This window comes from Homo sapiens, chromosome 9, assembly GCF_000001405.40.
Source record: "Homo sapiens chromosome 9, GRCh38.p14 Primary Assembly".
NCBI lineage: Eukaryota > Metazoa > Chordata > Mammalia > Primates > Hominidae > Homo > Homo sapiens.
Genome location: NC_000009.12, coordinates 100,071,297 through 100,084,722, shown reverse-complemented (window position 1 = coordinate 100,084,722; position 13,426 = coordinate 100,071,297). Strand labels below are relative to the sequence as shown.

At 39.8% G+C, this 13,426-nt stretch overlaps 1 protein-coding gene across 1 annotated transcript in view, besides 1 other annotated feature; it reads left to right on the top strand.

The window, feature by feature from the left end:
- The window catches only part of ERP44 (endoplasmic reticulum protein 44), a 119,816-nt gene that overhangs the window by 14,278 nt on the left and 92,112 nt on the right, over positions 1-13,426 (top strand). The window lies entirely within an intron of this gene.
- Positions 682-761: an enhancer, noted in NCBI's record as "active region_28719". NCBI's record gives its function as "activates an Ori minimal core promoter by ATAC-STARR-seq in GM12878 lymphoblastoid cells {active_cell/tissue: GM12878}" and the evidence as "EXISTENCE:reporter gene assay evidence [ECO:0000049][PMID:35858748]".

The following is a 13,426-nucleotide window of genomic DNA, read 5'->3' as shown; positions in this document are numbered from 1 at the left end:
TACTTTGAAGTATTAGTTAATAAATATTCTGGAATATTGTAAAAATAGGATAAAAGATGTTTTCTTGGTATCTTTAAATGCACTTTTATTCAGGTTGTTTAAATGGTTTTTAGTTTAAAGAAGCAACAAGGGTGTCTTCAGGGCACAATTTCTTTTAAGAGAAATATGAACTCTTGTATTATTATCAGTTTATTAACCCATTGTCAGGTAATGAAGTAATTCATATCAGTCAGATATTTTAGGTAATTAAAACCAATACCATTAAAGCAAAACAAGTTTGGTTGGAAATCATTTAAAAGTATACACAGTCATCCTCTTTATGTTTAGGTTCTGAAATGGTGTTTGTTAATGCCCTTGTGCATAAGTCCAGAGTGGCACATTGTACAAGGGATGGCTAATTTTATCTGTTGGTGACAGGCAGAGTCAATGTGGTTTTGCTTGATTTGCATCTGTGAAAACTTTTAAGTTTGTAGTTAGAAAGATTATAAATAGAAGAGCGTGTTGTCTGACATACTGGAGGCTATCATACATGATTTAACTTTTTAAGTGACTGTGATGTATTCCCTAGGTTGGAGTAGCTTCCTAATTACAAATTATAATATCCTTTGGTAAGTCTTCTGTAAGACTCTGAGAGCATTTCCTACTGTTAACTACCTCATTCTTCCCTGTTAGGCTATTTTCTCTGGTTCTTTTATGCTCCAGTAGTTCCATCTGTCTGTCCGTCTGTCTTTCCCTCTGTATCTGACTGTTTTCTCTTGCTTTTTCACGGGGTGGAAAAGGGAAAAATATCTACATTTAAGGGACAGAAGACCGTAAGGAGATAAATGTGGATACTCTCTAATGTACTATCTTAGAGCTTTTCTCCCGTCCTATTGCATCTTGATAGCCAGTCATTTTAATTCATAACCACTATTCAATTTCACTTTTGCATCTCTATAGATTGGAGTAGCTAGGAGCCTGTTAGTGCTTTTATTAGTGCCTTGGGCAGTGTTACTTTCTTGATGCATTAGTCCTGGGTGTAAAAGGTAGTCAAACACGATTTCCAAATTTCCCATGCTAATTGGTAGAAGGTGTCTCATCTTCTGACAGCTATTTTCCCATTGACTGGAGCAAGGCATGTACTAGTGAAATTGAAGTAGATCTGTGACTGCACAGAAATTCTTTTCTCTCAAATAGTCTTCCCTTTCAGTTCTCAGTCACCTAGGTTTGAAGTCTTACACTTTTTGACTCATTGTACTTTCAACCCTTCTCATGGCTTTTTATTTTTTGCTGTAGCTGATATCAACCCCCCTATCTGGCTTTCAGTGGTCTATTTTATATACACCTTGCTTTTTTCCTTTAATAATGTATTTTGGAGGTCTTTCCATTAGTACATAGAGAATGTCCTTATTTTTATTTTCATAGTGGCATAGAATTCCATTGTATTGATGCATTGTAATTTATCCACTATCTAGTTGATGAATATTCAGGTTGTTTCCAATCTTTTGCTATTACAAATAATATTACAGTGAATAGCATTATATGTTCATCATCTTTGTTCACCTTTTTTTTTATTGGGATGTTGTCTTTTCCTTACCCATTTCCAGAGCTTTTTATAATTTAGGGAAATTCTTTTTATGTTTTCTCAGTTTCTTTTCTCTTTCTTTTGTTTATTCATTCTTTCTATTATTTGTTATGTGGTTTTGTGTAGTAAGTGTGCTTGTGTTTGTGGTTTCATCAATCTTTTATGGCTTTGGGTTATGATTCATAATTAGAAATTCCTTCTCCATTCCAAGATTTGAAAGTAATTCTCATGTATTTTCTTTGGCTACTTTTGTGGTTTCATTGGAAATATGTAAATCTTTATATTTATTTGAAATATATTCTCATGAGGATTTAGAGCATGCTTTTTAATATACAGTTAACCCCTTGAACAATATAGGTTTGAACTGCATGGATCTACTTATACGTGGATTTTTTTTTTTTTTCCTACAGTAGGCCCTCCATATCTGGCAAGTTTCACGTCCACAGCCAAATGCAGATCTAAAATACTGTATTCATAGAATGCGAAGCCTGAGGATGTGGAGGACCAATTTTTTGTATCTATGGGTTCCACAGGGCTAATTGTGGGTCCTGAGCATGCATGGATTTTGGTGGAGTGTCCTGGTACCAATCTCCTGTAGGTACCCATGGACGACTGTATATGTTTTTTCAGGTGGCTGCCTGTTGTTCCAAACCAGTTTATTGAAGTGCCTGTCTTTTCTCTCTGACTTGAGGTGTATAGCATGTCTTTATTTGGGGTTATTAGTGGACTTTATCTTCAGTTCCTTTTTTCTGCATATATATATATATATATTATTTTTTATATTTCACTCTAAGTTCTGGGATACATGTGCTGAATGTGCAGGTTTGTTACATAGGTATACATGTGCCATGGTGGTTTTCTGCTTATATTTTAGAATGGGCTTTTTTGGTTTAAAAAAACATTTTGGTATTTTATTCATTACATTGCATGTATATTTTAACTGAGGGAGGCTTGACTGCTCTATGATGTTTCCTGTTCATGAAGGTGGTGTATATTTCTACAAGCTCAAGTGTCCTTTTATGTCCTTTGGGATAATTTAAAAGTTTTTTTGCTTTTTTACATTTTTTTGTTTATTCCTAGATATTTGGTTCCTTTTTTGTTGCATTACAAATAGGCTTTTTTCCTCTTCTATTATATACTCTAGTTGTTTTGTGTGTGTGTATGTTATTAATTTTGTATATTAATCTTATACTCTGATACACAGTCTCTAACTGTTTGTGGTGTTATTTTAGTTAATTTGTTTTTGGTTGTCATGTATGCAGTTATGTGATTTGCAGTGAGTGGCAATTTTATCTCCTCCTTTCTCATTTTTATACCTACAACGTTTTTCCTAATTGCTTTGTCTTGTACTTCCAAAAATGTTAAATGAATGTTAAATAATGGTGTTCTTAATGACATTCCTGTCTTGTTCTAAATTTAGTAATAATGCCTTTAGTATTTCCCCAATAGACGTGATTATGGCTTTGGGCTGAGACAGATGTATATTTTTTCTGTTAAGTGACTAGCATTTTAAATCAGGAATGCTGTTGGACTTTGTCAAATACCTTTTTAGCATCTATTGAGATGATTATATCAGATTTAACATTAATAAATCTCACTTAGGTCATTTTTATTAATATTTATGGTTTTTTTTTTACTTGATCTGTCATTGAAATGAGAGAAGTAAATTAAAATTTATGTTACAGATTCATTTCTCTTTCTACTTGTATCTCCCATAATTTCTGCTTTACAGATGTTGCTGCTGTGCTATTTCGCATATAGATGTTTACAACTATTACACTGTCATTGTAAATTGTGCTGTTAGCTTTTGAAAGAGCCCTTTTCTTTTTGTCTTATTAAATGCTTTTTGGCCCCATTCCACTTTGTTTAGTAACTAAAGATGGGTATCCCCCAGCTTTTCCATTATTTGCATTTGCTAGTATTATTTTATTTATTTTTTAATTTCCAACCTGTTGGAATTACTATCTTTTATAGGTATATCTCTTGTTTTCAGAATAGAGTTGGGTTTTACTCTGTGACCTACTATGAAAACTTTTAATAGATCAGTTAAACCTTTTATAATTACTGATATAAATTCTTTTATAATTACTGATATAGATGTATTTAGTCTTGATTTTCATATTTTTTTTTCAGTTTTTCTAAATATATTTTACTATGCAATCTAGGTTTTTTGTTTATTTTGAAAAGTAGTTCTTTTCATATATAGGAAGCTTTTTTTCTTATATTGGTAATCACTATAATTAAATCTTATATTCCTCAATGTGTGTCATTCTACATACTGGCAGGATACTCATCTTTATTAAGATGCTGTATTATGTTAGTTTCCTGTACCCACGTTTGCAAGGCAGCTCATTGGAGGATCAACTCCATAGCTCTTTACAGTCTTGCCCCAACCTAACCTTCCATCTTTATCTTCCAATGAGGCACTACATGAACTTCCATAGCCAGGATTCACTACTCTCTTCATCCATAGAAACTACTCGTTGATCCAACCCATGCAGTGCTCCCTGCCTTTTTTTGGCCCTGTCTGTAAATTTTCTCTGTAATGCTTTCTATTAGCCTTACAGTATATGCATCATACATATTATGTACTTTTTATACTAGATCATTAAAATCTCCCTAAGTGAATTGTAGGCCCTTGCAGGACAGAATGTATCTTGAATTTCCTTCAGGCCTTAGCTGGTGCAGTGCTTTCATCTTCATAGGTTCTCATCTGAGGACTGCCATGAGCTTGTGGAAGAGTAGGTAGATATGTTCTTGATGAGCTGTATATGATAGAATTTTCATCAATTTGTAGAAGAGAAAGGTGAGCAGATGTTCAGTCCTAAAGGTGAGCAGATGTTCAGTCCTGTAAGGAAAACCTTCTAGCGGCATTACTTTACAATGGATTGGGTTTTCCTGTAAGCTCTCTGTCATAGCAAGCGTTCAATTGTAGGGTAAATGGCCATTCTGCCGGGGATGCTGTTAAGGAGAAAGAGAATTGAAAGGGAAAGAGTATTCTAAAAGTAGGTAAACTAGGGCTCGCTTCATCTTTGTAATTCTGAATACCTATGATTTTGACCTAAATAAAGCAGAAACCATAGAGGATTTATTTATTTAATATGGGGATTGATGAATTGACAAGGATAATATGATAGGAAATTAAACAATAATACACTTACTTTATATATAACTGAATAATCTTTGAAGTTTATGATTCTGTTTTTTTTTTTTTTGTTTTTTTTAAAGACAGCACTCACTCTGTCACCCAGGCTAGAGTGCAGTGCTGCAGTCATAGTACAATGTAACCTAGAACTCCTGGGCTCCAATGATTTTCCTGCCTCAGCCTCCCAAGAAGCTAGGACTACAGGCATACACCACTATGCCCAGTTAATTTTTTATGTTTACAGTGAGAGAGGGGTCTTGCTGTGCTGACTAGGCTGGTCTCTAACTCCTGGCCTCAAGATCCTCCTGCCTCTGCAGTGCTGGGATTATAGGCATGAGCCACTGCTCCTGGCCTGATTCTATTTTCCAGTGCTCTTTTTACATCTCATGATATAAACAAAATTAAAAATTATAATATATATTTTTATGGCTTTCATGTTTGATCATTTCTTAGACTACTGAAAGAGTCCTGTTAAGAAGAGGGTCAGCCAGGCGTGGTGGCAGTGAACAATATGTTTGTATTAGGGTTCTCTAGAAAAGCAGAACTAATAGGGTGTCTGTGTGTGTGTGTGTGTGTGTGTGTGTGTGTGTGTGTGTGTGTAAAGGGGAGTTTATTAAGGAGCATTAACTCACACAATCACAGGGTTCCACAATAGGCTGTCTGCAAGCTGAGGAGCAAGGAGAGCCAGTCTGAGTGCGAAAGCTGAAGTACTTGGAGTCTGATGTTTGAGGACAGGAAGCATCCAGCACTGGAGAAGGATGTAGGCTGGGAAGCTAAACCAGTCTAGCTTTTTCACATTTTTCTGCCTGCTTTATGTCCTGGCCATGCTGGCAGCTGATTAAATAGTGCCCACCCAGATTAGGGGTGGGTCTGCCTTTCCCAGCCCACTGACTCAGATGTTAATCTCCTTTGGCAACACCATCACAGACATACCCAAGATTAATACTTTGCATCCTTCAAGCCAATCAAGTTGACACTCAGTGTTAACCATCACAAGTCCACCCCTTATCAACTTGAACCCATATATATCTCCTGAGATCATACATAATCTTTAAATAAAGGCAATGATAAAGTCATAATTATGCCTAACATAATACAACTATCCTTCGCACAACCTGAAAGGCACCAATCCCCAACCCAAATACTACTACATAAAGTTAACATACTTAAATGCTGATATGAAGTCAATAAATCTCATGTCACGTGATAAATAAAATGAAGATATTTTTCTTTACTTTTTTTTTTCTTTTTTTGTTTTTTGAGATGAAGTCTTGCTCGTCACCCAGGCTGGAGTGCAATGGCATGATCTTGGCTCACTGCAGCCTCCGCTTCCTGGGTTCAAAGGATTCTCCTGCCTCAGCCTCCCAAGTAGCTGGGATCACAGGTGCCTGCTACCACGCCCAGCTAATTTTTGTATTTTTAGTAGAGACAGGGTTTCCCTATGTTGGCCAGGCTGGTCTTGAACTCCCAGCCTCAGGCAATCCACCTGCCACTGCCTCCCAAAGTGCTGGGATTACAGGCATGAGCCGCTGCACCCGGACTTTTTTTTTTTTTTTTTGATAGAGTCTTGCTCTGTCACCCAGGCTGGAGTGCAGAGGCGCAATCTCAGTTCACTGCAACCTCCACCTCCCAGGTTTGAGTCATTCTCCTGCCTCACCCTCCTGAGTAGCTGGGATTACAGTTGCCCACCACCACGCCTGGCTAATTTTTGTATTTTTGGTAGAGAGAGAGTTTCACCACGTTGGCCAGGCTGGTCTTGAACTCCTGACTTCAGATGATCTGCCCTCCTCAGCCTCCCAAAGTACTGGAATTACAGGCATGAGCCACCGCACCTGGCCTGAAGATATTTTCTTAGTACAAGTGTATACATACATGCACAAACGTTTTTAACAAAAGGAGGAAATACTCATGACAGTTACAGTCCTCATTTCTGCAGCTGGCCACATGGTCGTAACTGGTATTGATGACTGCCTTGTTCTACCCATTCTGTATTTCCTTTGCTTTCAGCAAGCACCTCAGCAGGTTGTGGTTTTTTTTCCTGGTGGTTGTGTTTTTTTTCCTGGTGGAGTGACCCAAACCTTCATTCCTGAAGTGTCTGGGCCATTTGTAGTTCTGCCTGGATTGGGCTGTTGTGGTTAATCACAAGGCATAGTAATACTAAGAGACACCCTAACAGATCTCCTGTATTCCATGTATACTCTTCCTTACCTCTGTTATGGAGTAGTAGACTGATTGCATCTTCATAGTCTGGGTCAGTCACCCCAGCCAACACTGTACCTCCCTTCTTAGCCTGTTGGCTTAAAGATAGGAGGAGTTCAAAGTGTCCAGCTGGCAACCTGAACTTCCAGTTTAATGGAATTGTTGTTGTGTCATTCCTCCCTCTGGAACTAAGACATCTAGGCCAGCAGAACGTAATGTTGTGGGAACACAAAGCAAAAATTTTGCTAGTGGATCACTAGGGGTGATGGTGAGTGGTGCCACTTCCACCCCTTGATTACTGGATCCATGAATCCTGGCTATGGGAGAAATAGTACCATATATTGGATGTTGATTCAGAGCATACATGGCCTTCTGGAGAACTTTGCCCGAGCCCTGCAAAGTATTGTCACCTAGTTGGCGTTGTAATTGTGACTTCAAAAGGCGATTCCATCGTTCTGTCAATCCAGCTGCTTCAGGATGATGGAGAACATGGTAACACCAATGAATTTCATGAGCATGAGTCCACTGCCACACTTCTTTAGTTGTAAAGTGAGCGTCTTTGTCAGAGGCAATGCTGTGTGGAATACCCTGACAGTGGATAAGGCATGCCTCGAGTCCACGGATGGTAGTCTTGGCAGAAGCATTGTGTGCAGGTTAGGCAAACCCATATCTGGAGTAAGTGTCTATTCCAGTGAGGACAAACCTCTGCCCTTTCCATGATAGAAGAGGTCCAGTATAATCAACCTGCCACCAGGTAGCTGGCTGATCACCCTGAGGAAAGGTGCCTTATTGAGGGCTCAGTGTTGGTCTCTGCTGCTGGCAAACTGGGCACTCAGCAGTGGCCAAAGCCAGGTCAGCCTTGGTGAGTGGAAGTCCATGTTGCTGAGCCCATGGGTAACCTCCATCCCTGCCACCATGGCCACTTTGTTCATGGGGCCCATTGGGCGATGACAGGGGTGGCTGGGGAAGGAGGCTTAGTGGTGTCCACAGAATGGATCATCCTATCCACTTGGTTATTAAAATCCTCCTCTGCCGAAGTCACCCGTTGGTGAGCACTCACATGGGATACAAATATCTTCACAATTTTTGACCACTCAAAGAAGTTCATCCACATACCTCTTCCCCCAATTTCTTTGTCACCAATTTTCCAAGTCACTGACCATCCCCATTGGCTACAGCCCATGAATCAGTATATAATCACATATCTAGCCATTTCTCCTTCCATGCAAAGTGCACAGCCAGGTACACTGCTTGAAGTTTTGCCCACTGGGAAGATTTCCCTTCTCCGCTGTCCTTTACGGATATCCTAGAAAGGGGCTATGGTGCTGCAGCTGTCCACTTTTGGGTGGTGCCTGCATATCATGCAGAACCATCTGTGAACCAGGCCCTAGTCTTCTCTTCCTCTGTCAGCTGATCATAGGGAACTCCCCATGAGGCCATTGGTGCAGGTTGGGGAAGAGAAGGCAGGGTGGCAGGAGTGGAGACCATGGGCATTTGAGCCACTTCCTCATGTAACTTATTTGTGCCTTCAGGACCTGCTTGAGCCCGATCGTGTATGTATCACTTCCATTTGCTGATGGAATGCTGCTGTGCATGACCCACTTTATGGCTAGATGGGTCAGAAAGCACCCAGTTCATGATAGGCAGTTCTGGTCTCATGGTGACTTGAAGACCTATAGTCAAACATTCAGTTTACACCAAAGCTCACTAACAGGCCAAGAGCTGTCTCTCAAAAGGAGAGTAGTTATCTGCAGAAGATGGCAGGGCCTTGCTCCAAAATCCTAGAGGCCTCCACTGTGATTCACCTATAGGGGCCTGACAAAGGCTGCAGACAGCATCCCTATCTGCCACTGAGACCTCAAGCACCATTGGATCTGCTGGGTTATATGGCCCAAGTGGCAGAACAGCTTGCACAGCAGCCTGGACCTGTTGCAGAGCCGTCTTCTGTTCTTGACTCCACTCAAAACTCGCAACCTTTTGAGTCACTCGATAAATGGGCTGGAGTAATACACCCAAAAGAGGAATATGTTGCCTCCAAAATCCAAATAGGCCCACTAGGTGTTGTGCCTGTTTCTTGGTTGTAGGAGGGGCCAAATGCAGCAACTTATCCTTTACCTTAGAAGGAATATCTCGACAGGCCCCACACCACTGAAACCCTAGAAATTTTACTGAGTTAGAACGTCCCTAAATTTAAGTCAGATTTATTTCTCATCCTCTGGCATGCAGATGTCTCACCAAGAAGTCCCGTGTGTCTGCTACTTCTTGCTCTCTGGATCCAGTTAACATAATGTCATCAATGTGATGGACCAGTGTGATATCTTGTGGAAGTGAAAAGCAATCAGGGTCTCTCCGAATAAGATTATGACACAGAGCTGGAGAGTTGATATCCCCCCAAGGTAGGACAGTAAAGGTATATTGCTGGCCTTGCCAGCTGAAGGCAAATAGCTTCTGGTGGGCCTTATGGAAAGGAATGGAGAAAAAAGCATTTGTCAAATCAATGGCTGCATACCGGGTACCGGGAGATGTGTTAATTTGTTCAAGTAATGAAACCACATCTGGTACAGCTGCTGCAGTTGGAGTTACCACTTGGTTAAGCTTACGATAATCCTCTGTCATTCTCCAAGATCCATCTATCTTCTGCACAGGCCAGATAGGAGAGTAGAATGGGGATGTGCTGGGAATCACCACCCTTGCGTCTTTCAAGTCCTTGATGGTGACACTAATCTCTGCAGTCCCTCCAAGGATGCGATATTGTTTTTGACTTACCATTTTTCTAGGTAGAGGCAGCTCTAATGGCTTCCATTTGGCTTTTCCCACCATCATCGCCCTCACCCTACCAGTCAGGGAGCCAATGTGGGGGTTCTGCCAGCTGCTAAGTGTGTCTCTGCCAATTAGGCATTCTGGCACCTGGAAAATGACCACAGGATGAGTCCGGGGACCCACTGGACCCTCTGTAAGTCAGACCTGAGCTAAAAGTCCATTAACTACCTGACCTCCATAAGCCCCTACTTTAACTGGAGGACCACGATGACATTTTGGGTCCCCTGGAATCAACATCAGCTCAGATCCAGTGTCCAGTAGTCCCCAAAATGTCTGATTATTTCCCTTTCTCCAATGCACAGTTACCCTGGTAAAAGGCCAGAGGTCTCCTTGGGGAAGGATGGGACAAAGATTCACTGCATAAATTGTTGGTAGTGTAGTGGGGTCCTTCCTCAAGGGGACTCAGCCTCCCCTTCATTCAAGGGGTTCTGGGTCTATAAACTGGCTCAAGTCTGGAAATTGATCGAGGGGCCATGATTCTCGGTTTATAATTCAAATTAGTCTTTTGTCCATTCGACCTACAAGTTTTTTCCTTATATAAATTAAGTAGGAATGCAGTAGGCTTCCTATCAATTTCACTCCTAGGAACACCGTGATTAATTAGCCAATGCTAGAGCTCTACATGAGTCAGAATATTCTGAATAGTGTTATTCAGTGTGATAACCCAGCAGTCTTGAACGTTTTTGGCACCAGGCAGTGGTTTTGTGGAAGACTGACGGGGGTGGGGAGGATAGTTTCAGGATGAAACTGCGGACTAGTACTGGTCTGTAGCCTTGGGTTTGGGGACTCCTGTGATAACCCACTTTGGACATTTGGCTCTAGCGAAATTTACCTTTTCAGAAAGATTAATCCCCAAAAGTCTTAGCTTTGTAATGATGGAGTGTGTTGAAAAGCATGGATCATGGCTTTTTAAGGGATTTCCAAAGGAGATTTTCTCTCCAAAATATTTTGAGCAGTATTGTTTGAATAAGTGTATAATAGTCTTTAGAGCAGTATTTTTGGAACTGCAAACTGGGATACATTAATTTGTTGTATTGGGCTTACATTCAACATTAATTAAAAGGATAGGAATAGAAAATACTACTGTGCATTGAATGTAGTAAGGATAGGTAGTTTTGAGAAACTTTTATTTGTGTTTCTGTTTCCTGGACTGCAGTGTAAAGTGTATTTCTTGCTGTGGATCATGGTCATAAAAAGTTTGAAAAGCCTCTGCTGTTAGATGATAACACACATTTGGATATTAACTTCTTAGAGGTTAGTATATGTAGTCTCACCTATGTAGAATGTAATTGAAAATTTCTGTTGCTGTGTATTTGTCAAAAATGTGAGAATGATTTCTTGTGAAACAGTTTTTAGTCCAGTAATGATTTTAATGTTTATCTTCAATGGAAGACAAATTCCACTGAAAGAAGGCGTCTCCACATCTCTGCTGAATCTTAGAACATCAGAATCAAAAGCAGCCTTAGATTATTAGTTCAGCTTATTTATGGACAAATAGAACTCTGAGGTCAGGAGGTAGAGAAATGCATGCCTAAGGTTACATTGTGAGTGGTAGAGCTGGTACCAAAACCTAGGTCTCTTGACTCCCAACTCATAGACTGCAGAAGGTCAATTGTAGTTTAATCATAATCTCAACTAATTCTATGTAACAGTTATAAAAGCAAGCTTTTATGAGAGTTCATATTCAGAAGAAAACAATGACCAATTGTTTAGTTTTTTTAAAAAAAACTTGATCATGCATTACTTTTAAAATTCTCTTTGGCTATAGAATGTGAAATTCTTAATTTGAATTATGTAAGCTTATACTCTCTTTGAAACCGTACTTGGGAAGTTTTGAGTTTGTTACAGGGTACTTATTTTTAAATCATCTGCCTCTTGACTGAAATGAACTGTTACCAGATCCAAATCACCACTTAAAATTGCTTGAAATGTTTGTCAACTGCTTCATTAAAGCCCAAAGGCAGCATATATTCAGTGGGCAATTTTGAAGAGTCAGCATGAAGTTCAAACATTAGGAAATTAAGGACATCCTATACCTCATTATTTTAATTAATACATGTTATAAAAATCTAAAATTCAGAAGGATTCAACGTTTGAAGGTTGTGGATGACTCAGGGACTTGGAAGATTGCCCTTCTTACCTCTAAGGTTGATTGACTGCCTCAAAACTCCAGAAGATAGAGAGTTAGAGAACTTTTTGTAATCCCAGCACTTCGAGAGGCAGAGTGGGCAGATCACCTGAGGTCAGGAGTTTGAGACCAGCCTGGCCAACATGGTGAAACCTCGTCTCTACTAAAAACAAAAAATTAGCCAGACGTGGTGGCGCACACTTGTAATCCCAGCTACTCAGGAGGCTGAGGCAGGAGAATCGCTTGAACCAGGGAGGCGAAGGTTGCAGTGAGCCAAGATCGCTCCATTGCACTCCAGCTTGGACAACAAGAGCAAAACTCTATCTCAAAAGAAGAAAAGAGAGAGTTAGAGAACTTTTTTGTTTTTTAGTTCTGTTTTTTAGAAAAATGAGTTCTCTTCCTTTGTCCCTGCTTGTTGGTCTTTTCTCTCTACCTCCCAAATGGTTTTGAGGATTAAAGTAAACAGTATATTCCTAATTGTGCCAATGCTTACTTCTTCTTTCTGTACCTCCATCTCACAGCAAGTACAAAAGTGAGGACAGACATGAGCAAAGGAGATAGATTCCTAAATTCAGATTTCCTTTTAACACACCAAGGTCATTCTCTGATTAGCTTTTTGGTAAAAGTGCTTAGAAAGCTGAACTACTATGTGGTAGTAATGAAGATCAACCTTAGTGACCCTTAATATATAAGAAAGCTTTGAGACTGTCACTGGGAGTATTTTAGACTAAATGAAAGATAAATCTGTTTGCTTTACAAAGCTAATTCAAACAGTATGTGTGGCAGATGGGACAGCATTAAAGATTCTTCTAATGATCATTAATTAGGATAGGCACCTCAAGAAGTATATGGCCTCTCAAGGACTACTTCTGATTGATATTTAGAATTAATTTGGTTAGAAGTAACAATGTAATTTTTAAAACACAGAGGTTTATTTTTTTTCTGGAGACAGAGTTTCACTCTTGTTGCCCAGGCTAGAGTGCAATGGCGTGATCTCAGCTCACAGCAACTTCCACCTCCCGGGTTAAAGTGATTCTCCTGCTTCAGCATCCCAAGTAGCTGGGATTACAGGCATCCGCAACCACGCCCAGCTAATTTTTTGTATTTTTAGTAGAGACAGGGTTTCACCATGTTGGCCAGGTTGCTCTCAAACTCCTGACCTCATGTGATCCCCCTGCCTCAGCCTCCCAAAGTGCTGGGATTACAGGCGTGAGCTACTGTGCCTGGCCAAAAAATACAGATCTTTAAAGTCAGTAGTGGATTAATACTTTGGATATATATAGTAATGGAATCATTAGGGGATTTGGTAATAAAAACATTTTTACCCAAGAATACGTACAGTACTCTACTTAAGAATAAGAAACTAGGAAGTCTGAGAGTGATTCTGGAACTAAGTGACTGTGGAAAATAAGTAAGCCAAGGTTTCACTGAAGACAGTTTTTCCTTAAAGGCCATTTACTCACCCAAAAACAGTCAGGGCCACATGTTTAGTAATGAAATAAAGGCATTCTTTGACACATAGGAGATATTTTCCTCATACTTTGGAGTGTAGAAATGTGTGTGCCAATAG